The sequence below is a fragment of the Homo sapiens genome, chromosome 8, assembly GCF_000001405.40.
Source record: "Homo sapiens chromosome 8, GRCh38.p14 Primary Assembly".
NCBI classification, from domain to species: domain Eukaryota; kingdom Metazoa; phylum Chordata; class Mammalia; order Primates; family Hominidae; genus Homo; species Homo sapiens.
The window spans coordinates 9151694-9175947 of record NC_000008.11 but is presented as its reverse complement, the minus strand read 5'-3'; the positions used below and the strand labels follow the sequence as shown (position 1 = coordinate 9175947).

Genomic DNA, 24254 nt, shown 5'->3' with positions numbered 1-24254 from the left:
CTTATCTTGCTAAGATCAATGGAGGTCACCACCCTGGTGATGTGGAGCCCATGCCAACCTCCACTGCTTTTTTTTTTTTTTTTTTTTGAGGTGGAGTGTCCCTCCGTCGCCCAGGCTGGTGTGCAGTGGCACGATCTTGGTTCATTGCAACCTCCACCACCTGGGTTCAAGCGATTCTCCTGCCTCAGCCTCCCGAGTAGCTGGGATTACAGGCATCTGCCGCTGAGGCCGGCTAATTTTTGTATTTTTGGTAGAGATGGGGTTTTGCCATGTTGCCCAGGGTGGACTCGAACTCCTGAGCTCAGGCAATCTGCTGGCCTCGGCCTCCCAAAACGCTGGGATTACAGGTGTGAGCCACTGTGCCCGACCCTCTCAAGCTCTTTTTAATCTGTTTGCCTCCTCTTGTTCTGTTAGTCCTCTCCTCACACCTTTCTCCCTCCCAGCGGCTCCTCTGCCTTGAGTTGGTTTCTCTCTGCTTCTGCCTTAGGCCTGGTGCTTATGGTTGGTGTGTGGCCCCTGTAGTTCCCTGCAAGCCACACACCAAAAATCTACAGTCCAGGTGAAGAGCCATGCAGTTGAAAACATCTCTATGGTAAATTCGGGGACTTGGCTGGATCTTGTTTATTCTGATCAAACCACAGAATGCCTAAAGCAGCTCCTGGTTTTGATCGGAGGCACTTGCAGCCAACAGGTTGCCTAAGCAAAGCCAGCCAGTTTATGGCAGCATTGACTGGGAGCCCAGTGGGAGCCCTAGGGAGCTGGTTCCTTCTGTACCAAGTAATGAGCAACTGACATCATCCATGGGTGACTCTGGAAAATCTCAGGCTCTCTCTGGTGGTTTAGCAACTGCTCAGGTCCCTCAAGGTGATGTTTAATAGCTTTTTTCAGCAACAGGGGCCGTCTGCCATAGATACGGAAAGGCACTATTTATTAGGATGCTTGTTAAATGAAGTGCTGATAATCAAGAACTCATAGTAGGACAAAGCTGACTGTATTTTCTAAAACACTCATAAAATATCCAGAACCTCATGCTGTTGCAAAATCCTGCAGTTCTCCGATCAACAGATGGAGTCTTGGCCGGGTTGAGGCTCACGCCTGTAATCTCAGCACTTTGGGAGGCCAAGATGGGAGGATTGCTTCAGGCCAGGAGTTTGAGACCAGCCTAGGCAACTTAGGGAAACCCCATCTCTACAAAAAATTTAAAAATTAGTCGAGCATGGTGGTGCACACCTATACTCCCAACTACTCAGGAGGCTGAGGAGGCAGGATTGCTTGGGCCTGGGAGGTCAAGGTTGCAGTGAGCCATGATCAGACCACTGCACTCCAGCCTAGGAAACAGAGTGAAATCCTGTCTTTAAAAAAAAAAAAGAAAAGAAAAGAAAAAGAAAAAAGAGTTGGAGTCTACATCCTCTCGCCTTTATCTGGGCAGGCCTTTGCGACCTCTGAGGGTGGGTCAGAAAAGGCTGAGGGTTCTCTCTCACGTCCTCTCTCCCTCTTTCTTTCTCCATGTGCCTCTGGAGCTCTAAGCTGCCACAGAAGAAGCCATACTACTCTCACATGCAGCGACAGAGAGACAGAGAGAGATGTTAGACATGTGAGAGAGTGAGTCTTAATGTGATTCCAGTCCCAGTTGCTGTCTGACTGCAGCTGCATGAGAAACCCCAGTAAGGGCTGGAGGTGAGAACAAGGCACACACATTGTGGCTTGTGGAGAAGGGGATGATGGGCTGGGGTGAAAGTTGTCTTCACAGAGGAGTTACAACTTGAATTGGGTCTTGAGAGATGAATAAGAGCCCACCAGAAAAACAAAGGAAGAGGCTCTCTGGGTAGACATAGCAGCCTATGAGGCTACATATGAGGGGTGCAACAGCCACCAGAAGATGCAAGGTTTCCTGGGGTTGGAAATAAAGGACTTCATCTGCAGAGTTAGGAAGAGACATCAGCAAAAGGAAGCACCACGTGATATTCTTTTTTTTTTTTTTGAGAGATAGAGTCTTGCTCTGTCACCCAGGCTGGAGTGCAATGACATGATCATAGCCCACTGCAGCCTCAAATTCCTGGGCTCAAATGATCCTCTCACCTCAGCCTCCAGAATAGTTAGGACCACAAGTATCCACCAGCATACCTGGATAATTTTTTTTTTTTAATATTTTAGTCGAGACGGGGGGTCTCACTTTGTTTCCCAGGCTGGTCTCGAACTCCTGGGCTCAAGCAATCCTCTCATCTTAGCCTCCCAAGATGCCGGGATTACAGACGTGAGCCACCACGCCCTGCCAAAATCTGATTTTCATTTGAGAAAGCTCATCCTGACTGCAGAGGAAAGGGCGAGGTCGGAGTGGGGGGTGGCAGAAATATAGGCAATGCTGTGGAAATAGTCCAGGTGAGAGAGGATAAAAGTACCAAATTAAGGCCGGGTGCGGTGGCTCAGGCCTGTAATCCCAGCACTTTGGGAGGCCGAGGAGGGTGGATCACGAGGTCAGGAGATCGAGACCATCCTGGCTAACACGATGAAACCCCGTCTCTACTAAAAATACAAAAATTAGCCGGGCGTAGTGGCGGGCGCCTGTAGTCCCAGCTACTCGGGAGGCTGAGGCAGGAGAATGGCGTGAACCCGGGAGGCGGAGCTTGCAGTGAGCCGAGATCGTGCCACTGCACTCCAGCCTGGGCGACAGAGCGAGACTCCGTCTCGAAAAAAAAAAAAAAAGTACAAAATTAAGGCAGCAGCAGTTGAGATGGAAAGAAAGTGGCAGCGGAGAGAAGGGAGGTGGCTTGAAAAGGAAGTGGTCACCTGCTAGGGGTGAGAGGGAAGAAATCTGCGGTGGATCCCGGTTTGTAGCTCAGGCAACAGAGTGGTCAGTGGTGCTATTCACGTGGCTTCAGACTGCAGGAGCATGTGCTGGGTGGGGTGCACGTGGACTCCTGCTTTTTCCACCGGTGTATGAGCTTCTGGGGAGAACGTATGCTTCTCATCAGCAACAGAGGCATTTTTAACTCAAGAAAAGAGAAGAGCCTTGGAATAGTAAATAAAATGATGAAAGAAGAGGGTGATGAGCGAATTTGGAAGGCTACCAACCTTTGAGAAAGCAACAGAGAAAGCAGACCCTGGAAACGAGAGGAGGAAGAGCAGAGGAGCCTATGACAAGTCTAGGATCCCAAGAGCCAAGGGCATACCCATCCCTGGGCTAAGGAATCAGCTCCAAAGGAAGCTCGTCTCTGGATGGAGTCTAGATATTTCTCCCTTGCCTTACTGTGTCCTTCTGCAGCTATTTAAGGCACAACATTTGAAGAAATGTATGACCCAGCACTGATCTCTGGTTTATCATTTAGGGACAGTCATAACTGTTTTCAAGTTAACCATAAGTCATAAGTTTTTCAAGTTAACCCATTGTCTTTAAATGGTTTTGGCCAGGAGTTTGCTTAATTCTTTAGGTAGTCATCAGAATTTTCAGTAAGAACACACTTAAAATGCAGGAAGGAGAGTGTTGTGGCCTTTGGATGTGGCCCAATTGATACAGTAACCAGATCTGCAGGTATATGCAAATTCCTCAGGGGCACACAGGACCTGAGAGCTTGCACGTTTTTTAGAATACTAAGGAATCCTGAGAGCTGCCAGCACTTAATTAATATTGATGCTCCCTTTCCTAGAAATGCTGGGCTTTGAAAGCACCTTAGATGTCATCAACTGCAACCTCTAAAACTTACAGACTTTGGATGGTGTCATTAGAAGTCAGGGGCCAAGGGACTTTAATTCCACTGGAAGCAGAACAAGAAGAGAAACTTGATTCTATGCAGAGCTGACCTCCAGGTGGATATAAATTATTGATGAGGACTCAGCCTGATGAATTTGGGGGTAAACATGGATTGGCTATAGATGAATCACAGACTTTCTCTCAACCAGAGCTCCCGGGGCTGGGACTCTCACTTTCCAGATGAGGAAACAAAGGACCACAGAAGTCAAGCAACTTGCCAAGGTCAAACCCAAGTTACAGCCAGAGCTGGGACGATTCCTGCGGCTGACCCCTTGCTGGGCTCGTTTCCTTCCGCCTGCCCAGCCATCTCTGGTTTTATCTGATGTGTCTGATGTCAAACGTCATGAATATGGAAAGCAGAAGACCTTGTTCTGGGTTGACAAATGCTTGCAGTTAGGGATTTTTTTTTTTTTTTTTGCTCAAGCTTTTCCAACATCTATCAAATGCACCTGTGGAATATGCAAACAAAATTCCTGCTGCATCTGGGCCGATCTAATATATCTTAGAAACTCAGTGATCATTGTATCCTTAAAACGGGTTTGGAAAATTAAATAAAATTTTATCCACAGAGAGAATGTAATTGTGAACTGCCTCCCAAAATCTAATTGTTTTATTTCTCAGGATATGGGTTATAGCACCACGGTGTGCTACAAGGAACTCACCAATTACAGCTTAAAACTTCCAGGCTTGGCCAGGTGTGGTGGCTCATGCCTGTAATCCTAGCACTTTGGGAAGCCGAGGCAGGTGGATCACCTGAGGTCAGGAGTTCGAGACCAGCCTGGCCAACATGGCAAAACCCTGTCTCTACTAAAAATACAAAAATTAGCCAGGCGTGGTGGTGCATGCCTGTAATCCCAGCTACCTGGGTGGCTGAGGCAGGAGAATTGCTTGAACCTGGGAGGCAGAGGTTGCAGCGAACTGAGATTGTGCCACTGCACTCCAGCCTGGGCAACAAGAGCGAGACCTCATCTTAAAAAAAAAAAACAAAAAAAACTGGTTCAGTACTCCCTTCGGCACTCCGGCCTGGGTGACAGAAAAAGACTCCGTCTCAAAAAAAAAAAAAAAAGAATTTGGGTGTAGGTAGTTCATTTGGAAGATGACCCCTAGGCTAGGATAGAGAGGGGTTAAAGAAGGAAGTCAGGGAAGAGAGGGAGGCCAATCGTATGGTGCACTGCCGAGATTCCCCCTCAGGACTGAGGTCCTCACTCTCCCAGCTGTTGGGAGTGTTGCTGGTTGATGACTTTTAGCTGAGTCTCGAGCCAGGAACTGCTCTCAGCAGCAGAGAACAGCCTTAACCCAGGTCCCAACCTGGGGCAGCCACATCCACTGACTAATCAATAGAGGATATAAAGCCCTGACCCCACCTTGGTCTCAATAGGTCAACTCTGAAGGACTATCCCAGGGCCAGAGCTTCCTGTGGGATCCTCTCAAGCTTCAATAGCACCACAGTTCAACGACTACCTTCTATCCAGTCCTACTTTCTTCTTCATAGGCGTTGGTCTCAAAGGAATTCCCTAATAAACTTCTTGCACGCAACTGCATATGGCAGGGTCTGTTTTTCAGGTGACCCCACCTAAGACAACTAATAAAGTTGCATTTATGACAAAAATGCTGCTGTGAGCAACTGAGGCTCAATTCTTCCAGGACCCCTCAAAAAACTGCATAAACCTCAGCAATGACCTATCATGGAGCCGGAAGGCTGGGGTGTTTATCCAGCAGCTTCTGTCCTTCATTGGTTGAGGGATGCTCCCAACGCTGTAATGTTCTGGCACTTCTAGCCTGTCTCTAGGTGGCCAGCCCAGAGAATGCTGTCAGGCAGAGATGCTGGAAGATACCAGCTCAAGGGGACTTGTCTGCAGGCAACTCTAAGAGTGGACCAATGGGATCTGGGCAGAGAACACCAACAGCATCTGCTACAATTCCCCCTCCCCAAGAATCGCCTATGGCTCCGCATTTCCTACAGCAAGGATCAAGCTCACAGAGCAGTTGTCAGCCACTGATGTGACTGGTCGGTTGGAAAAATGCAGCATTTTGACATTCTAAATTTAAACAGGGAAATCACATTCAGAGACTTCACACATTTGCTACTTATGCAACCTCTGAAAACTTTTCAGATCTGGACACTTGGTCTAGAAAATAAGTCCAGATTTTTTTGACTACACACTTGGCAGCATTTGTGACCTGTTATCAAGCAAGCTTTCTAATCCTGTGTTCTTCTAATCTACTTCTTCCACACAGATTGGTCTGTCTTGTGTGTGTGTGTGTGCATGTGTGGTGTGTGTAAAACAAAATTCTAATCATGCAATACCTTCCAGAAACTTTCCACTGACCAGATCAACTTCAAATTCCTTTGTAAGGAAACGAGGGCTCCCACTATCTGGCTAACCCCTTTACAAGGATATATTATACATAGTCATGCCATCCCTAGGTACTCACGGGGGATTGGTTCCAGGATCCCCACAGATACCAAGATCCTCAGATGCTCAAGTCCATCAAATAAAATGATGTAGTATTTGTATACAACCTATACACATTCTCTTCTATATTTTAAATCATCTCTAGATTACTTATAACACCTAATACAATGTAAATGCTATGTAAATGGTTGTTATACTGTCTTTTTAATTTGTATTATTTGTATTGTTGTATTGTTATTTTTCTATTTTTTGAACATTTTTGATCCATGGTTGGCTGAATTAGAAGATTCAGAACCCATGCAGACAGAGAGCCATTGTGTTATATATTATATATAAAAGAATACATCTATCTTACCCTTTACTAGGAGAGCCAATCCTATAACTCCCAGTCTAAGGCTGAAGGCCTGGGAATCAGGAGGGAGAGTGGGTGCTGGTATAAGTCCTGGAGGCTGAAAGTCTGGGCATGTGACGTTGAAGCTGAACCCAGGAGGATAAGGAAGAGGCTGCTAGGGAAGGAAGATTGCAATCAGAGCTATCCATTCCCCACGCAGAGGGTGGGGAAGCTACAAAGGCTGTGTTCACACTACGCATCAATAGATACTTACCACACCTAGGGCAGAACCTTTAGCCTGGGTCCCCCCGAAACAGGCTGAGTGTCCAGCTTCCACATAGTGTAAACAGCAGCAACGCCAAGAGACACGTGCATGGAAATGGTGGCCTTTAAAATCTTTGAAGTTCTTGGGGAATGTCGGTGACAGCTGGACATTGAAGAGCCTTTGGTGGCTCTCAGGCTGCTTCTCATTGATTGGAGGTGTCTCTAGGTCAGCACGCACAATTTGTGATTTTTATGGTTTAGTAATAGCTTGTTGTCCATTTTCAAGGATTAAGCCAAGTGGCGTTGATGTGATGATTACAGACATAAGTGCCCTGCCCGTTACTGCAATTAGCACTCTATTAAAACAGACAGCATTTGTACAGACAGCCTGAAGCTTCATAAGCTAAAAGGTAGAGCAACATTAAAATCTGGCCAGGAACAAGGAGACTGTATTTTTCTGAAGAGGGCCAAGTTCCCTAAACACACCTCTGGCCAACATATGTGACTTGGCAGAGACGCATCTTTGCTAGAAAGGGGTTTTGTGAACAGCTTTCCATTTTACCATCTACACAGGAACCAACTGAAGGCCATTAGTCATTCCATGCAACACTGCTGTGAAACATGTGAACAATCTCACCACATTGCAGTTTGACAGAAGTTATAAGGCAGGTCAATGACAGATCTGAATTCCAAGATTCGACCTTTGATCTTTTGATGTTTCTCAGCATCTTCCAGAGTGTTGTCTGATATCTGCTTTGAGAGGCTTCAGGAGAAGAGATACGTTGCCAAGCCCAGTAGTTAATGTTTGGTTTTATAAACAATTAAACAACCATCTGTTGGTCTGCTTCAGCGGCTGTGAAAGCAAGGCTTAATTGCTGTAGGGATCAAAATGGACATGATGCGTTTGGGTGACTGCATTTTGGGTTCCGTCCCGTAGTTCCAGTCACCGTACTATTAAAGAACTTAACATATGGGCCTGTAGTGATTTGTTGACAGTCATTCCTCTCTCCAATGGTGAGCACATCACTGCAGCAATCCTGGCTTGTCCACTACACATCCTCAGTCCTGACCAAGCATCTGGCACATAAATTGCATCAAATGAATGAGTGAATAAATGTGGATACTACAAAGATAAAAGTCCTTTATGTTTAAAAGAAGAGTTTTCCCTTTAAAATCCGCATAAAGTGTTCATATGAATGGGTTTCTTGCTAGCACCTGTGCTGGTGTAAGTGATGCACTTGTGCCTTGTCCCTGTGTGTCTGTGTTTGTGCAAGGATGGTCTATTTTGGTATGTCTTTGTTCCTTTCTGATAAGCCTTAAACTGGTCAGTTGAATCTCTCTCATTTGATTCTGTTTCTTCTACTGTGGTTTGGTTCAGTGCTTGCGTGGAAGAAGGCATCCTTCTGCCTGTCCTGCTATAGAAAAAAAATTGCTCAGCACATAATCTGTTAGTTTCCCTCCTTGTTCTCTTGAGGCCTAAGAGTGCGCAGAATTGAATCATGCATGATGTATTTCCCAATTCTGTTAGGATTTACTTCCTAAAATTTCACTCATGCTCACTGCTATGGTCTGAATGTTTGCATGCCCCCAAAATTCATATGTGGAAGTCCTAGCCCCCAAGGTGATGGTATTAGGAGTTAGACCCAAGAGGTGGTAATTAGGTTATGGGAGGGCAGAACACTCATGAGTGAGATTAGGGTCCATACAAAAGAGGCCAGAGAGAGCTCCTTTGCCCCTTCAACCACATGAGGATACAGCAAGATGGCACTGTCTACAAGGAAGCAAAACTTCCCGAGACGCCAAAGCTGCCTGCAGCTTGATCTTGGACTTTCCAGCCTCCAGAACTGTGAGCAATAGATGTGTGTGTTATTTACAAGCCACTCTGTGGACAGTATTTTGTTATAGCAGCCTAAATGGGAATAAGATACTCATCTATATTCATTCTGATCTCTTTCCCACCTTTCCATACACTAAAATGCAGCGTTGCAAGAACCGTGAGATCTTGGGTCAGCTTGTGAAGTGCCAGGTTAAATAAAGCTAGCCAGAGTCCCACAATACAGGATTCCTCTGAGGCTGTTAAAAAAAAATTTTAAGTTTAATTTTTAGTTCTGCGGTCCCTGTGCAGGTTTGTTACATGAGTAAACATGTGCCATGGTGGTTTGCTGCACCTGTCCACCCATCACCTAGGTATTAAGCCCAGCATGCATTAGCTATTTTCCCTAATACTCTCCCTCCCGCCACCACATCCTCCGACAGGCTCCAGTGTGCTGTTCCCCAACCCGTGTCCATGAGTTCTCGTTGTTCAGCCCCTACTTTTTTTTTTTTTTTTTTTTTTTTTTTTTTTGAGACAGAGTCTCGCTCTGTCGCCCAGGCTGGAGTGCAGTGGCACCATCTCGGCTCACTGCAAGCTCTGCCTCCCGGGTTCGCACCATTCTCCTGCCTCAGCCTCCTGAGTAGCTGGGACTACAGGTGCCCACCACCGTGCCTGGCTAATTTTTTGTATTTTTAGTAGAGACGGGGTTTCACCGTGTTATCCAGGATGTCAGCTCCCACTTATAAGTGGTTTTTGGTTTTCTGTTCCCGCATTAGTCTGCTGAGGATAATGGCTTCCAGCTTCATCCATGTCCCTGCAAAGGACATGATCTCATTCCTTTTTATGGCTGCATAGTATTCCATGGTGTATACATACCAAAGATCTAGAACCAGAAATACCATTTGACTCAGCAATCTCATTACCGAGTATATACCCAAAGGAACATAAATTCTCTTACAAAGATACAGGCACGCCAATGTTCATTGAAGCACTATTCATAATAGCAAGGACATGGAATCAACCCAAATGCCCATCAACGACAGACTGAGCCTGGTTTTGATCCCAGAATACTTTTTGTGATGACCTTCTCTCAAGAATAGTGTTCTACCCAAGCACTTTGGGGAACAGTTGCTTACTTGGCTTGTTGTTTTTCCCTGTTTCTTTACACAACCACACCTTTTCTCCAATGCCTCTCTAGAAACAAAATAATTTTCCTGTATCCAATTTTGGTCATCTCTTAATCAAAAGTGTTGTTTAAACAAATAGGTACTGAATACATTGATAAAAGTCTTTAGGGCCGGGCACGGTGGCTCACGCCTGTAATCCCAGCACTTTGGGAGGCCGAGGTGGGCGGATCACGAGGTCAGGAGATGGAGACCCTCCTGGCTAACACGGTGAAACCCGGTCTCTACTAAAAATACAAGAAATTAGCTGGGCTTGGTAGCGGGCGCCTGTAGTACCAGCTACCTGGGAGGCTGAGGCAGGAGAATGGCGTGAACCCAGGAGGCGGAGTTTGCAGTGAGCCAAGATCGCACCACTGCACTCCAACCTGGGTGACAGAGCAAGACTCCGTCTCAAAAAAATAAAAAGGTCTTTAAATATTTGCCAAACAGAGAGAGTTAGGAAATCTTGAGGCCCCTGTGCACTGTAAGGAAGGTGGCCACGACCCATGTCCTGCTTCCCCTGGGAGGAGGAGAGGTGGGCATCCCTGCCAGTGAGTGGCACAAGTGTAGAGTCTTCTGACTCACTGTTCTGTAGCTGGAAGTGGCCACAAAGGCAGTAGGCACATTTGTCCCAATAGAGGTTTTTCCACAATCCCTACAGAACCCTAAACTCGGCCGGATGCATTGGCTCATGCCTGTAATCCCAGCACTTTGGGAGGCCGAAGTGGGTGGATCACCTGAGGTCAGGAGTTCGAGACCAGTCTGGCCAACATGGTGAAACCCCGTCTCTACTAAAAATACAAAAATTAGCTGGATGACCATCCTGCCTAACACGGTGAAACCCCATCTCTACTAAAAATACAAAAAATTAGCCAGGCGTGGTGGCGGGCGCCTGTAGTCCCAGCTAGTCGGGAGGCTGAGGCAGGAGAATGGCGTGAACCTGGGAGGTGGAGCTTGCAGTGAGCCGAGATTGCACCACTGCACTCCAGCCTGGGCAACAAAGCGAGACTCTGTCTCAAAAAAAAAAAAACAAAATTTAGCTGGATGTGGTGGTGGGCACCTGTAATCCCAGCAACTCTGGAGGCTGAGGCAGGAGAATCACTTGAACCTGGGAGGCAGAGGGTGCAGTCAGCTGAGATCATGCCACTGCACTCCAGCCTGGGTGACAGAGTGAGAATCCACCAAAACAAACAAACAAACAAAAAAACCCTAAACTCATGACCTTCCAGTGATCTGGAAAGCCTTGAAATTTTCATTACTTGTTTCTGCAACATATCATCTTATTTATAAAAATGCCAGATGACACATATTCATGTTTTAAATTATTGTAAATTCAAATGAAAGTTAATTTTTGTTTTGGCAAGATGTTTTGAGGCTGGTATGATCCCCCCGGGCAGGAAATACTCTATTTTGAGATCTAGGGAGTTCTCAAGGTACAAAGGTCAGTGGGACATAGGATTCACATCCAAGATGACCAACTGGCAAACTGTCCCCCCGTCCTGATCACACTCTCTCCTTGCAAGAGTCACTTGCTTCACATGCCATGTGACAAGTGCCAGTCCTGGCTGGGGGCCATGAAGAGAGGCTGCAGATAAGGATAGGGCTCAGCCACTCAAGAGCCTCCACTCCTCTCTTAACTCCCACAAACCATGCACCCAAGTGTGACACACTATCTGCACATTGAGCTCTGGGCCTCCAGGTGTGACAAAGCCAGAGATGTCAGTGATGTCTAGCTGCCCTGGCCTCAAAGTATTCACCCACCCTAGACAAACTTCTCAAATCAGTTTTAAATAAAATGAATTCCTTTCTGGTTTACTATAGAATTTCCCACCTCCACTGTGTTTATAGCAGGCTATTTGTTAATTTATTTTCCATGCTGTTTGAGGACGTGGGTGTACTTGAGAACTGTTTAGGGTAGCATTTTTTTCCATGTGTGGCTTCCTCCTGGAAACAGAGATATTTGGCATCTGTTCATCCATTGTGTGGCCTTTCCCTTGCACCCCAGACAAACCTCAGAAACCTGTCTCCCCAAGTGTCCCCTCTCATGGTTTTCTTCTCTACCTCCCCAGACTTCCTTCCTGCCTGCCCTGCAGCAGCCATTCGGGGAGGCTGTAAACCTCCCCTTCTCCAGCCAGAGCTGTAGCCACCACGAGTAACCTAATCATCCTCTCTTTACCTCCTGCCTGTGAATGAGGTGGTTGTCCTAGCAGTCAAATTGAATTAAGGGCTATGTTTTCAAAATCCCAAATTTATTCTTCTGAGGCCCAGTGAAGGCCCTATAATTCAATCGAGCAGATCGGGGAAGAAAGCCAAGGTGTCCCCAAAGTGAGACCATCACCCTCTTTCATCTGCTCACTGAGAGCTGCAGCCTCGTGTGGTGTAAACAGCCTAAACTTTGGGGTCAGATCTTACTTTGAATCAAGATTCTGCTACTCACTGCTGTGTGATCTTAGGTGAGTTACTTAACTTCTCTGAGTTTCACTTTTCTTACCTATGAAAGGGGGTTAAACAAAAATACCTCCTTTTCAGGATATTGGTATCAAGTATGTAAAGTGTCTGTGCAGCAAGAATGCTCAAAAAGTAATAGTCCTTACTGTTTAGATTGAGGCTGTGGCACATAAACCTGGGAGGTAGTAGTCAGCTCATAGTAATGAGCTGACCAGAGGGTTTTCACCCGTGGAGGTCATGGCTCCTGCTTTGCTCAAAATGCACCAGCCAGTTTGTCGATGGCAGAGACAACGTCTCACCTGGGTTGCTGACACTGCTCACGGCCACACCTTCCAAGGCTGACGCACATTCCCACGGCCTGCCCAATACAGCATGAGGCATCATCTTGGAGACTTGAACGTGAGTGTCTCCTCACCAGTAATGACCCGACAATGAGTTTGTTTCTCACCTGGTATGAAGTGAACTTGTTTTCTAAGCCCTCAACACACCATCCTGCCCTCCTTACTGCTATCTTATCTAGGGGAAGGGAGACAGACCATCAAGACCCCTGGAAAGGTGACTTGGTTTGGCTGTGTCCCCACCTAAATCTCATCTTGAATTGTAGCTCCCATAATTCTCACGTGTTGTGGGAGGGACCCGGTGGGAGACAATTGAATCACAGGGACGGTTTCCCCCATACCGTTCTGGTGGTAGCGAAGAAGTCTAAGGAGATCTAATGTTTCTATAAGAGGTTTCCCCTTTTGCTTGGCTCTCATTCTCTCTTGTCTGCTGCCATGTAAGACATGCCTTTTGCCTCCCGCCATGATTGTGAGGCCTCCCAAGCCACGTAAAACTTTGCTGTGAGTCCATTAAACCTCTTTTTCTTTATACATTACCCAGTCTTGGGTAGATTTTTATCAGCAGAATGAAAACGGACTAATACAAAAGAGCTCCGAGAGAGGAGAAAGTCTCCACAAAGCACAGCGGACACCTGCTTACGCATGCAGGTTCCGAAGCCCTCATGCTCTCTGGCAGTCTTTCCTGAGCAGGAGGCAGGCTGGAGAGTGTCCCGTACCTTCCAGAAGTGGGCCTGGTCATGGCCAAGGTAAAGACAATGTAGGGGAATTATTAATTTCTTTTCTCCGTTCTTGGAAAAACGTATTTGACAATAACAAGTGGATAATAAACTCCGTACTAACCCACACTGGCTATGGATAATGTAGTGGCTATTGTGTAGATCTGCTCTGTGCCCATTTCCTGCTCATTCTCCTTAATTTACTGACAGAAAATGTTCCTCAACAGAGTGGTGAGCATGGAACCAGGCTGGGTCATCCCTTTGTCCACAGTTACGCAGCCATCAGTGTCCCCTCTGGGAATTCTGTACATTGACGACAGGTGGAAGATGCCCTCTTTCCTCTCTGCTCTTTAAGTGGGGTTGATGTTAGCCCAGAGATGTGAGCAGCCATGTTCCCTGTGATGTGGAGAAGTTAATCCTAGGCCCAGTTCTGCCCCTGCCTTCCTGGTATTTGGTTATGACCCAATTCATTTCTTCTTCTGGTTTGATTAGGCTAGTTGGAGCAGCCTCTCTTTTGAAACCTAAAGAGTTGTGACTCACCTAAGGAGAGAAGCTAAGAAATCTACAAATGCAGGAGATGATTTTGCCCCTTGAATTTGGACCAGTGTTTGATGAAAGGATGTCAGGTGTCATGAGCCAAGTCTGCTTGCTTAGAAAGGAAGTTTTTGTTACTAGAACCCTTAAAAGTCAAACTTTTCTTTCTTTCTTTCTTTCTTTCTTTCTTTCTTTCTTTCTTTTTGTTTGTTTGTTTGTTTTGAGACAGGGTCTCACTATACATCCCAGGCTGGTCTTGAACTCCTCAACCTCCTGAGTAGGTGGGATTACAGGGGTGAGTTACTGTGCCCCTGCCCAAAGTCAAAATTTCTAAGAACTTTGAAAAACTGGCTAAAGCATGTCTTCTGTATCCTTGGACTTTTCTAGAATGAATACCTTGAGTTTTCAATGGCTCTGAGGTGCTATGTTGAAGGTGTGCCTCTGCTTATTGTTGGAAATTCACTGACTTTTTGATTACCGGGCATTAGCTTGCCTTTGGCCATTCCACAGGCTTTGGGCCCTGCCACTCACGAACTTCTTCATCATGGTGAAGATGGGATCACTTGGGCCTGCCAATAGATCTTGTCCATCAGTGTCAGTCTGGTGCGGGATGCAGAAAAACCAGGAGCCTAGCTGGTCCTAACACGAACGGTATCTGAATCCTTGACTCTAGACAAGTGATGGCTCTTTTCTCGGTCTGTTTTTTTCACCTGTAAACCAAGGATGCTAGCCTAGAAGATGTAAGAGGCCTTTTAACTCTAATAATCGCCAGTTTTTCAATATAATTCATAAATCAAAGTCTTGGCATTTGGAGTAAAATTAAGGGACAAAGGCTTGCTATGTGGAGCTCTTCCACCTGAGCAAACACTACGCCCACAAAGTAGAAATTCCCAGTGGCAAGGCAAACAAAAGGACCACCCTTGGAGTGGGAGAGATGAGGTTAAAGAAGTCATTGGGAGAGAGACCTCTTTTCTCAGCAGCAAATAACACTACCACTGCCAGATTAGAGGAACGTTAAAACCAAAGTTAAAACACACAGAGAGATGGGGAGGCATAAAATTGGCATTTTCATACAACTTTAGAATCTCATCAAGAAACTAAATTACCATAGTGGATAAGATACAATAACTACTCTTTTGAGTACTAATCAGTCTCCTTGCTGTATTATGGTAATAAAACTAGGGGGTATTAGGAAGCAAGGTCATTTACACATGAAAGTTGACTTGGCTGAATATAAAATGCTTTTAGATGCTTCTCCATTGTTTTCTGACTGTAGTAGTACAAAGAGGTCAGAAGTCAGTCTGGTATTTGTTCTTCCATCAACAACTTGTTTGGGATTGGGGGTGGTATTTCCTGTGTGGATAACTTGCAGCACTTCCTCTTCTTCTTTTTTTTTTTTGGTCTTTGTAACTAAAAAATGTGGTCAATATGTGTCTAGGTGTGGGTGTTTTAAAATTGATTTTACCTGGAATTTGTGAGCCCAGTCAATCTATATACTCCAGTCTTTTTCCAGCCTGAAAATGTTTTCTTCAATAAAGTCATTATCACTTATTTCTGTTGTTCTGGTTTCTTGATTAGTAATACTGTTAAGTCTTAAACTGAATTCCCATTGTTTATATTTATCAGAATCTATCACTTTTCTTAGTTAACTATTTATTTTCACTTATCATGTCTAACTCTATGCTCTTTTCCTGTAAAAGACCTCTTAAGGTTCACCTCCAAATCAACGTTTCCATTTTCTACACTGTCAATTTTGCTTCTTTCCACCTCCATGAGGGATTTTAATTCTTGGATTGCATTTTTTTTTGACATCCATTCTTATCGCATCTCTCTTTGTATCTTGTCTTCCTAACTTTTCATCTTATCTCTGTGTGTGGTTTTCTGTAATTCATAGACCATGTCTTCCTGCAATCCAAGATGTTTTTAAAATTTTCTTTTGTTTCCTGTAGTAAAACTATTTCACGGGGAAATTTGGCAAACTGGTGATGCCCTTGGAATAGTCACCATACACTTGATAGTTTACAAATGTGTCAGCATGTAAATTTGTGTTTCATTTTCATATACCCCAACATCTTATAATGGAGGGAAAGGCAAGTCTTTGTTTTCCAAGGTCTTGGCTCTTTTAGCCGCAAAGTGGTGCTAACAGCTCCTTCATGTTCCAGGAGCCTCTGGAGAAACTGCTTCCATAAAGTGTTTGGGAATTCTGGGCCCTCCCAAGAAGGGGCCAGAACTGTCCAAGAGTGGGAGGAGCTCCAGCCTGGTACTTCTGTGGATTTACAGAAAGATCCACCCCAGAAAGGGGGTGAATCCCCAAAGTCTGCGAGCTGCGGGACTGAAGTTTCTGCAGGCGGTAGGACACCCCATCTGAGTCCAACATTCTGGAAGAGGCTTCTCTCTGGGGGTGCATGAGCTTCCTGTCAGGCCTGCCAAGTGGGCATCACCAAAGCCTGCCTTGAGCAGTAGCTCCAGTGGGTAGTGAGGACCTGACCTGCACAGAGGCTGGGCTGCAGAAGGAGCAGTGCTAAGGGCTGTAACCACAGAGTCGAGGAACAAAGGACCTGTTCCCAGTTGCATGAGCCACATAAGCCAATTGACATTAAGCTTCTTGCTGGCCTTAGTAGGTGGAGGGTTAAGATCCAGATTTCACTGTATTTAGAATCATCAAGAAATGTGACTTTTTTGCACTTGGGTTTTGTGGAGCAAGTCATCCTGATTATACATAAATATTGTTCCAGGAAATCCTCAGAATAACCCTACCAAGCAGGCATTACTATTCCCATTTTGCAGATCTGGAAACAGAGGCACAAAGTGGGCAGGTGATTTCCCCCACGCCCACAGCTCATTGTGGCAGAGTCAGCATACTCATCCAAGACCACCAGGTGACTGAGATCTTACCCTACACTTCATTATCTCTAGGGCATGAGGGTTATGTGAGTCTTCAGCTTTTTGTCTTTCTTCCTAGGAATTTCAGCAGGAAGTTAAATCAGAAACTTCCTCGCTTATTTTGCAATCGGTTCCTTCTTTTCATAAACCATGTCTTGGGACTGTTCTTAAAAATTGATAAACAGTGCTGATTTATAAGAGGGGAGAATGACAGAATTGCTTATTTACTAATCTTACAAAATTAGAAGAGAGAAATTTCTAGATTTTATAAACTCAGGAGGAATACTTTTAAAAAGGAGGAAGGAAGAAAAAAGAATAAGGGTTAAACTCAGGGAAGAAAGGATAAGTTAATTCTCTTTTTGGAACAAAGGGCCACAACTAAAATAAGAGACAAACGACCCCCAACTTGGGAGGATTTTGCATTTGAAAATGACGAAAGAATTAACAGAAAGAAAATGGGAATGGTGCCAAATATCTTTGTTAAGTCTGAATATATGGTTATAGCAATCTCTAAGGTTTAGATGGAAATAATGGCAAAGTTTGGCTTTGTATATTTTATAGTCCTGGCTATCTACCAAGTAAGACTCATACTAATAGTGAGTTATCAGGTTGTTGTTTTTGGTGAAGAATAATTGTATAACAAACTCGAGTAGCCTTTATAACAAATGCGCTATTGTCCTGTACATTTTATTATATAGTAGGTGAAATAACCTCACTAGACAACGGCTGCCCCTCTGCCCTCTGAGATGCGTGTCTCCTCAGGCACACAAGCCGGGCGAGATGCAGTGAAGGAATAATCTCAACGTGTGTGACCTCCTAGTTTTAACTGCTCCATTTCAAACTCCAAAATAGCCTGTGGCTCTGCATGGAGAAATCTTTAACATGAGTTTTGAGAAGGAAGAATGCAGTCTTTAAGTCATGATTCCCTAGAGGATATCAAATAATCATGAGGAAAACCATGAAGTCAGTTCACTTCTGACTCTAAATTTCAAAGAAAAAGAGGAGTGACAGAAAATCAAAAGCTGATGGAAAACATAGTGGTGTACACTTAGGACTCATTGTACATAAATACTTAGTTTGTTTTCCTTCATCTTTCAAGCAAATCGTTGCTTTCTTAATAGAAATATATATCATTGCATGGTTGTAAGTATGATCCAGGCAGTTTTGTAAATATCAGGACGGAACCAGCTGAAATTGCTTATACATACTCTGAAGTGCTTGCAGTATCAGAGTCATTTGATTCCAGAGGCATGCAAGAGAAACATCCCAGACCTAAGGCACAAGGCATGCAATAGCCAAGTGGTTAGTTACAGTCCTAAAAGCAGCTTGACATATTTTTTTTTCCTCACAAAAATGCAGGCCACTTGTCATGAAATTCTGCATGCAATGTTGCTATGCCTTGCATTATATGTATATAAAGTTACAGGTTTAAATATAATTTATGACCACACTAGTCATGAACAGAGGATGAATAAGCAAAGAATATAAATATATACTGGTTCTGCCTAATGGTATTTAAGCCTTTGGCAAGGTGGTATTCCCTGGTTTCTAGCCTCTCCACCTTCTCCCTGACCAGCCACCACTTAATACCATTTAAGTCGACAATATGGGTTATGAAGTCCTTATTCATAATACAAATTGGCTGTGTACTTTGAGATTCAAAGCTAAAGCACTAGATAAGGTGTGCCGCTATTTTTACCCAGGCATACAGTAAATGATTCATTCGTAAAAATTCTCATATGGCTATTTTGCAAGATGAGCTATAATTTTCCCCAAGTCCACAAACCAAGACCTTATTGAGATTATTTAACTTAATTTTCCCCAGTAGCAAGAATGAAAGGTCAATACTAACCTTCCTAAAAGGTTAGTATTCAAATCTGGCAATATGCATCCAGCCTGAAGAACATCTATACTCTGTAGGAAATAGGCAGGAATGTGGACAAAATTTAAATATGAAGATGCTTATTGAAGCACTAGTTTGGTGCAAAAGTAATTTTGGTTTTTGCTGTTGCCTTTAATGGCAAAAACAGCAATTGCTTTTGCACCAACCTAACATATTTACAATAAAGAAAATTTGGGAAGAAAAATCTAAGTGTCCCACAATAAGAAAATAGTTAAATAAATTATGATCTCTCTATGTGAAAGAATATTATGCAGCCATTAAAAAGCATATGTCAGGAAAACTATAATACTAATATACTCAAAGTGAGAAACAGTCATGAATAAAAATCAAGATATTAAACTATATATACACACTATGATTCAGATAATATAATGTTTATGCACAGACTAAACTGAAGAAAATACAGTGAATTATATTGATAGTTATCATTGGGTAGCACTAATTCTATTTTCATCTTTATATTTTTCTGTATTTTCCACAATGTCTAATACTAATACAATGACTTTGAACAACTTGGGTTTGAACTGCATAGGTCCACTTACATTTGGATTTTCTCCTGCCTCTGCCACTCGTGAGACGGCAAGACCAACCCCTTCACTTCCTTCTCCTTTTCAGCCTACTGAAAGTGAAGACAACCAAGATGAACACCTTTATGATGATCCACTTCCACTTAATGAATACTAAATATATTTTCTTTCTTTCTTTTTTGAGACAGAGTCTTGTTCTGTCACCAAAGCTGGAGTGCAGTGGTGCCATCACAGCTCACTGCAGCCTTGACCTCTCCAGGCTCACATGATCCTCCCACCTCAGCCTCCTGAGTAGCTGGGATTACAGGTGTGCACCACCATGCCTGGCTAATTTTTGTATTTTTTGTAGATACAGGGTTTCACCATGTTGTCCAGGCTGGTCTTGAACTCCTGGGCTCAATGAATCTGCCCACTTTGGGCATCCCAAAGTGCTGGGATTATAGGCATAAGCCACCATACCTAGCCAACATATTTTCTCTTCCTTATGATTTCCTTAAGATTTTCTTTTCTCCAGCTTACTTTATTGTAAAACTACAGCATAGAATACATATAACATACGTAATATGTTTAATTGACTGTTGATGTTATTGGTAAGACTTCAGGTTGGCAGCAGGCTATTGTAGTGAAGTTTTTGGCGAGTCAAAGTTATATGTCGATTTTCAACTGCACAGGGGGTTGGTGCCCCAAGCCCCCACATTGTTCAAGAGTCAACTGTAATCATAAAAAAGAATAAACAACACAAATTAAAACATATCACGCTCACACAAAGCACTGCACAAAGTATGAAGCTGTAGAATAAAATCAGTTCTGTAGTCACATAGCTTTCAAACACGTGATCCATTTGTCAACCTCACTCAGGAACTCAAAAGCCCTCAACGGTAAGAAAAAATGCCCTAATGGGCTCTAGGAGCTTGGTGTGTAAAATACTCAAGATCTTCTCACAAGCTGAGGACACATTATCTGCAGACAGAGGCTTATAGAGTTCCTTTGTAAGTATTCCTCTGCCTGTCCCCATGAAACATGACCTTGCAAGTCAATGTCAGTCAAATATGAAAGAGGGGCAGGGGGCCCCAGGTAACATAATGCGCCAGAACACGTCTGCGGCTCTGACAGGTGCAAACAACTCCACTCGGCTAAATATAAATTGACTCGGGCAGTTTGGAAGCAGTCTTTCCCACTTGCTATTCTGATCAAGCAAAAGAATGTTCTCTTCTTTAGTTCTGACTCCCAAGGCTGGTTATTTTTATTTAGATTAATTTTGCAATCATTTTCATTCAACGAGAAGCAAATTAGAAGTAAAAAAAAAAATTTCTCTTCCAAAATCTCCGATGAGAATAGGACTAGGTTTGAGCTGTTTTTGAAATGCATTAAGTTGAGAAGGAGGTAAAACATTTGCAATCCTTTTTAAAAGTTTCTGGATGAGCAGAAAGCTGATGTGAACACATGTATAAAGGAACACTGTTTAATATTTAAGCCAGAAAGAGGACCTAACTTTTAATCAGCACAGTGGAAATTCTCTGGGTACTTACCGAACTCTGCGTCTTTGCCAATTCCTGCCATGTTCCCTGACATGACCCTTTAACTCTAACTCCTCCTCCAGGATCCCAATGATCACATCTATAGGATCAGCCTCTGGTCATCCCCATTCCCCCCCCAACTCTGCTGCTAAACACACAAGGTCTTCCTCTTAACTCCCCTAACACAGAGACTTACCTTAACATACATTTATCCCAAATCAATATTTTTTTTAGCCTATGAGCTTCTCAGGGGTAAAATTATATTTCACCTATTTTTCCACGTTCAGCATCCCGGCTTAAGGAGGTTCCTTAGTAATATGTCGTTGAATAAATGAATACATGAGTGAATGAAGAGAGGACTGAAGAAGCCACACATGAGCCTAAATGCAAGGAAAAAGATGGACAGTGCTACCACTAACAGCCATGAAAAAGAACAGTTTCTCCCCCTCCCCCTCCCCCTCTCCCGTCTCCCTCTCTTTCCACGGTCTCCCTCTCATGCTGAGCCGAAGCTGGACTGTACTGCTGCCATCTCGGCTCACTGCAACCTCCCTGCCTGATTCTCCTGGCTCAGCCTGCCGAGTGCCTGCAATTGCAAGCTCGCGCCTCCACGCCTGACTGGTTTTGGTGGAGACGGGGTTTCGCTGTGTTGGCCGGGCCGGTCTCCAGCCCCTGACCGCAAGTGATCCGCCAGCCTTGGCCTCCCGAGGTGCCGGGATTGCAGACGGAGTCTCGTTCACTCAGTGCTCAATGGTGCCCAGGCTGGAGTGCAGTGGCGTGATCTCGGCTCGCTACAACCTCCACCTCCCAGCCGCCTGCCTTGGCCTCCCAAAGTGCCGAGATTGCAGCCTCTGCCCGGCCGCCACCCCGTCTGGGAAGTGAGGAGCGTCTCTGCCTGGCCGCCCATCGTCTGGGATGTGAGGAGCCCCTCTGCCTGGCTGCCCAGTCTGGAAAGTGAGGAGCGTCTCCGCCCGGCCGCCATCCCACCTAGGAAGTGAGGAGCACCTCTTCCCGGCCGCCATCACATCTAGGAAGTGAGGAGAGTCTCTGCCCTGCCGCCCATCGTCTGAGATGTGGGGAGCGCCTCTGCCCCGCCGCCCCGTCTGGGATGTGAGGAGCACCTCTGCCCGGCTGCGACCCTGTCTGGGAGGTGAGGAGCATCTCTGCCCGGCTGCCCCGTCTGAGAAGTGAGGAGCCCCTCTGCCTGGCAACCGCCCCGTCTGAGAAGTGAGGAGCCCCTCCGCCCGGCAGCCGCCCCGTCTGAGAAGTGAGGAGCCTCTCCGCCCGACAGCCACCCAGTCTGGGAAGTGAGGAGCGTCTCCTCCCGGCAGCCGCCCCGTCCGGGAGGTGAGGGGCACCTCTGCCCGGCCGCCCCTACTGGGAAGTGAGGAGCCCCTCTGCCCGGCCACCACCCCGTCTGGGAGGTGTGCCCAACAGCTCATTGAGAACGGGCCAGGATGACAATGGCGGCTTTGTGGAATAGAAAGGCGGGAAAGGTGGGGAAAAGATTGAGAAATCGGATGGCTGCCGTGTCTGTGTGGAAAGAAGTAGACATGGGAGACTTCTCATTTTGTTCTGTACTAAGAAAACTTCTTCTGCCGTGGGATCCTGTTGATCTGTGACCTTACCCCCAACCCTGTGCTCTCTGAAACATGTGCTGTGTCCACTCAGGGTTAAATGGATTAAGGGCGGTGCAAGATGTGCTTTGTTAAACAGATGCTTGAAGGCAGCATGCTCGTTAAGAGTCATCGCCACTCCCTAATCTCAAGTACCCAGGGACACAAACACTGCGGAAGGCCGCAGGGTCCTCTGCCTAGGAAAACCAGAGACCTTTGTTCACTTGTTTATCTGCTGACCTTCCCTCCACTATTGTCCTATGACCCTGCCAAATCCCCCTCTGTGAGAAACACCCAAGAATTATCAATAAAAAATAAATAAATTAAAAAAATAAATAAATAAATTAAAAAAAAAGAAAAAGAACAGTTTATGGAAGAATAATAATTTACTATGCTTAGCCACTGCTGTTTTCTGGTTTCATTTTTTTTTTTTTTTTTGGTTGGGGGAGGAGGGTTGTTAAATAAAATTAAAGCTGTAACCCAATGCCAGATATAATAGAAAGAACTTGGTGTGCATTGACTGATGCAGTAAGCATTGAAATTTTCCATTTTCACTTTCTCTCTTTGTTGCCATAAAATGAGAGGGTGAGGCAAGATCGTGTCTGAGGGTGGGTCCAGCTCTCAGGCTCTGGAGCTCTGCACTGCTGGGTCTCCTGGTAAAGCCCTCCTCTGAGCTTGCATCTCAGCTCTATCCTGATGGCAAAGACTGTGCTCTTTTCAAACTCATAGATGACACCCTCCTACCTACTAAGGCTGTGGTGTACCACAACTAAGTTTAACCCCTCTCTCCTGGTCTGAAAAAGTCATCTAAACCACAGGGGAAATTATTGACCATGGTTTCCTAGATCTATGCAAGAAAAATGCTCCCAAACCCTAATGCTACAAAGCTGTATTTACTTGTCCCAACTCTTTCCCGGTGTGGTTCGGATTACCCTTTGCCTGCATATGTTTTGCAATACCTCTTGGCTCTTCATCTTTGCCCACTCCTCCAGCATGCTCACTACACCTGAGAAACTTAGCCAGTACTTGGCTTAAAAATCTTCAACCTACTCATCACCTAACAAGAGAGGGTTTAAAGTTGGCAGAGGGAATATTGCACAGAAACGCTATTTGCCAACCACCTACCAATAGCTGACTTCACAAGTGGTCCCTTATCAGATCTGCCCATCAGAAAAGAAGGAAGAAGATTAATGATCATTCTTCAGACACCAGGACTCCCTCCGGGGAAGCTCTCTATAGAGCTAAAGGCTTGTATTGGATTATTGTCACCGATCACTGTTTTAGGCTTGCATTCCTAGTAAAATTGAAGCTGAGCCTGTATCCCTTACAGTAGAAACTCCCAAATGCCATATTCAACATAATGAGTTTTCAGAAAGCTAAATATATCCAATGGGAAAGACTGGCCATTACATCCTTCCTGCATTTCGTTGTTATTGCTATTAAAGTGTACTTTAAAAAATAAAAATAAAAGGATAGTAATAGAAGACAGCAGGGTTTATTTTCATGTCTTTCTTGGCAGTTTAAAAAGTTGGCAATCCTATATCAATTTCTAATTTTTTTCTAAAACTCTACTGGTCATTAAAATTAGAAAACTGGTAGCCTCATGCCTAAAGTGGCTAGTTCAGATCAAGTTACATGTAAACTGAAGAAAGGAAGAGCCTCTGATTCAAACTCTTTAAGGTCATCATTTTTTTCTTTTTCTAAGACCATTTTCTATAGATCTCAAGGTGCATAATATGCATCGCGGAGGCCCTGTAGATTTAGATAGCGATTATAACCGATTCAAGTCAGGAAATTTCTTCTGAAGTATACCTACCTGTGAAACCCTCCATATCTGGGGCGCTCTGTGCCACGGGTGTCAGACTTTTGCAAAAGCCCTGTCATTCTAACGGGACGCCCTCCTGTAGGAAGTTGCCCCCTGGCGCCCGTCCTCCGGCTTCTGATGAAACGGCGACCCACCACCCCCTTCCCAGACCCTGGCCCGCAGCCGGATCACTCCGGGCGCGCTGCCGATCACGTGGCGAAGCGGTGCTCCCCAG

At 44.9% G+C, this 24254-nt stretch overlaps 1 long non-coding RNA gene across 14 annotated transcripts; it reads right to left on the bottom strand.

Moving 5' to 3' along the window:
- Positions 1-6350: 6350 nt before the first annotated feature.
- PPP1R3B-DT (PPP1R3B divergent transcript) lies at positions 6351-24223 on the bottom strand. 14 transcript variants are annotated; one of them, NR_183345.1, is made up of 6 exons: positions 24032-24223; positions 20799-20982; positions 19644-19796; positions 19101-19177; positions 6771-8175; positions 6351-6668 (listed from the first exon to the last, which is right to left on the bottom strand). It is a non-coding gene; the product is annotated as a PPP1R3B divergent transcript (long non-coding RNA). The 14 variants fall into 14 exon arrangements; NR_183344.1 differs by having other exon boundaries at positions 6351-6671; positions 6771-8172; NR_183351.1 differs by lacking the exons at positions 6351-6668; positions 6771-8175 and adding exons at positions 17322-17927; positions 18508-18569 and having other exon boundaries at positions 20872-20982.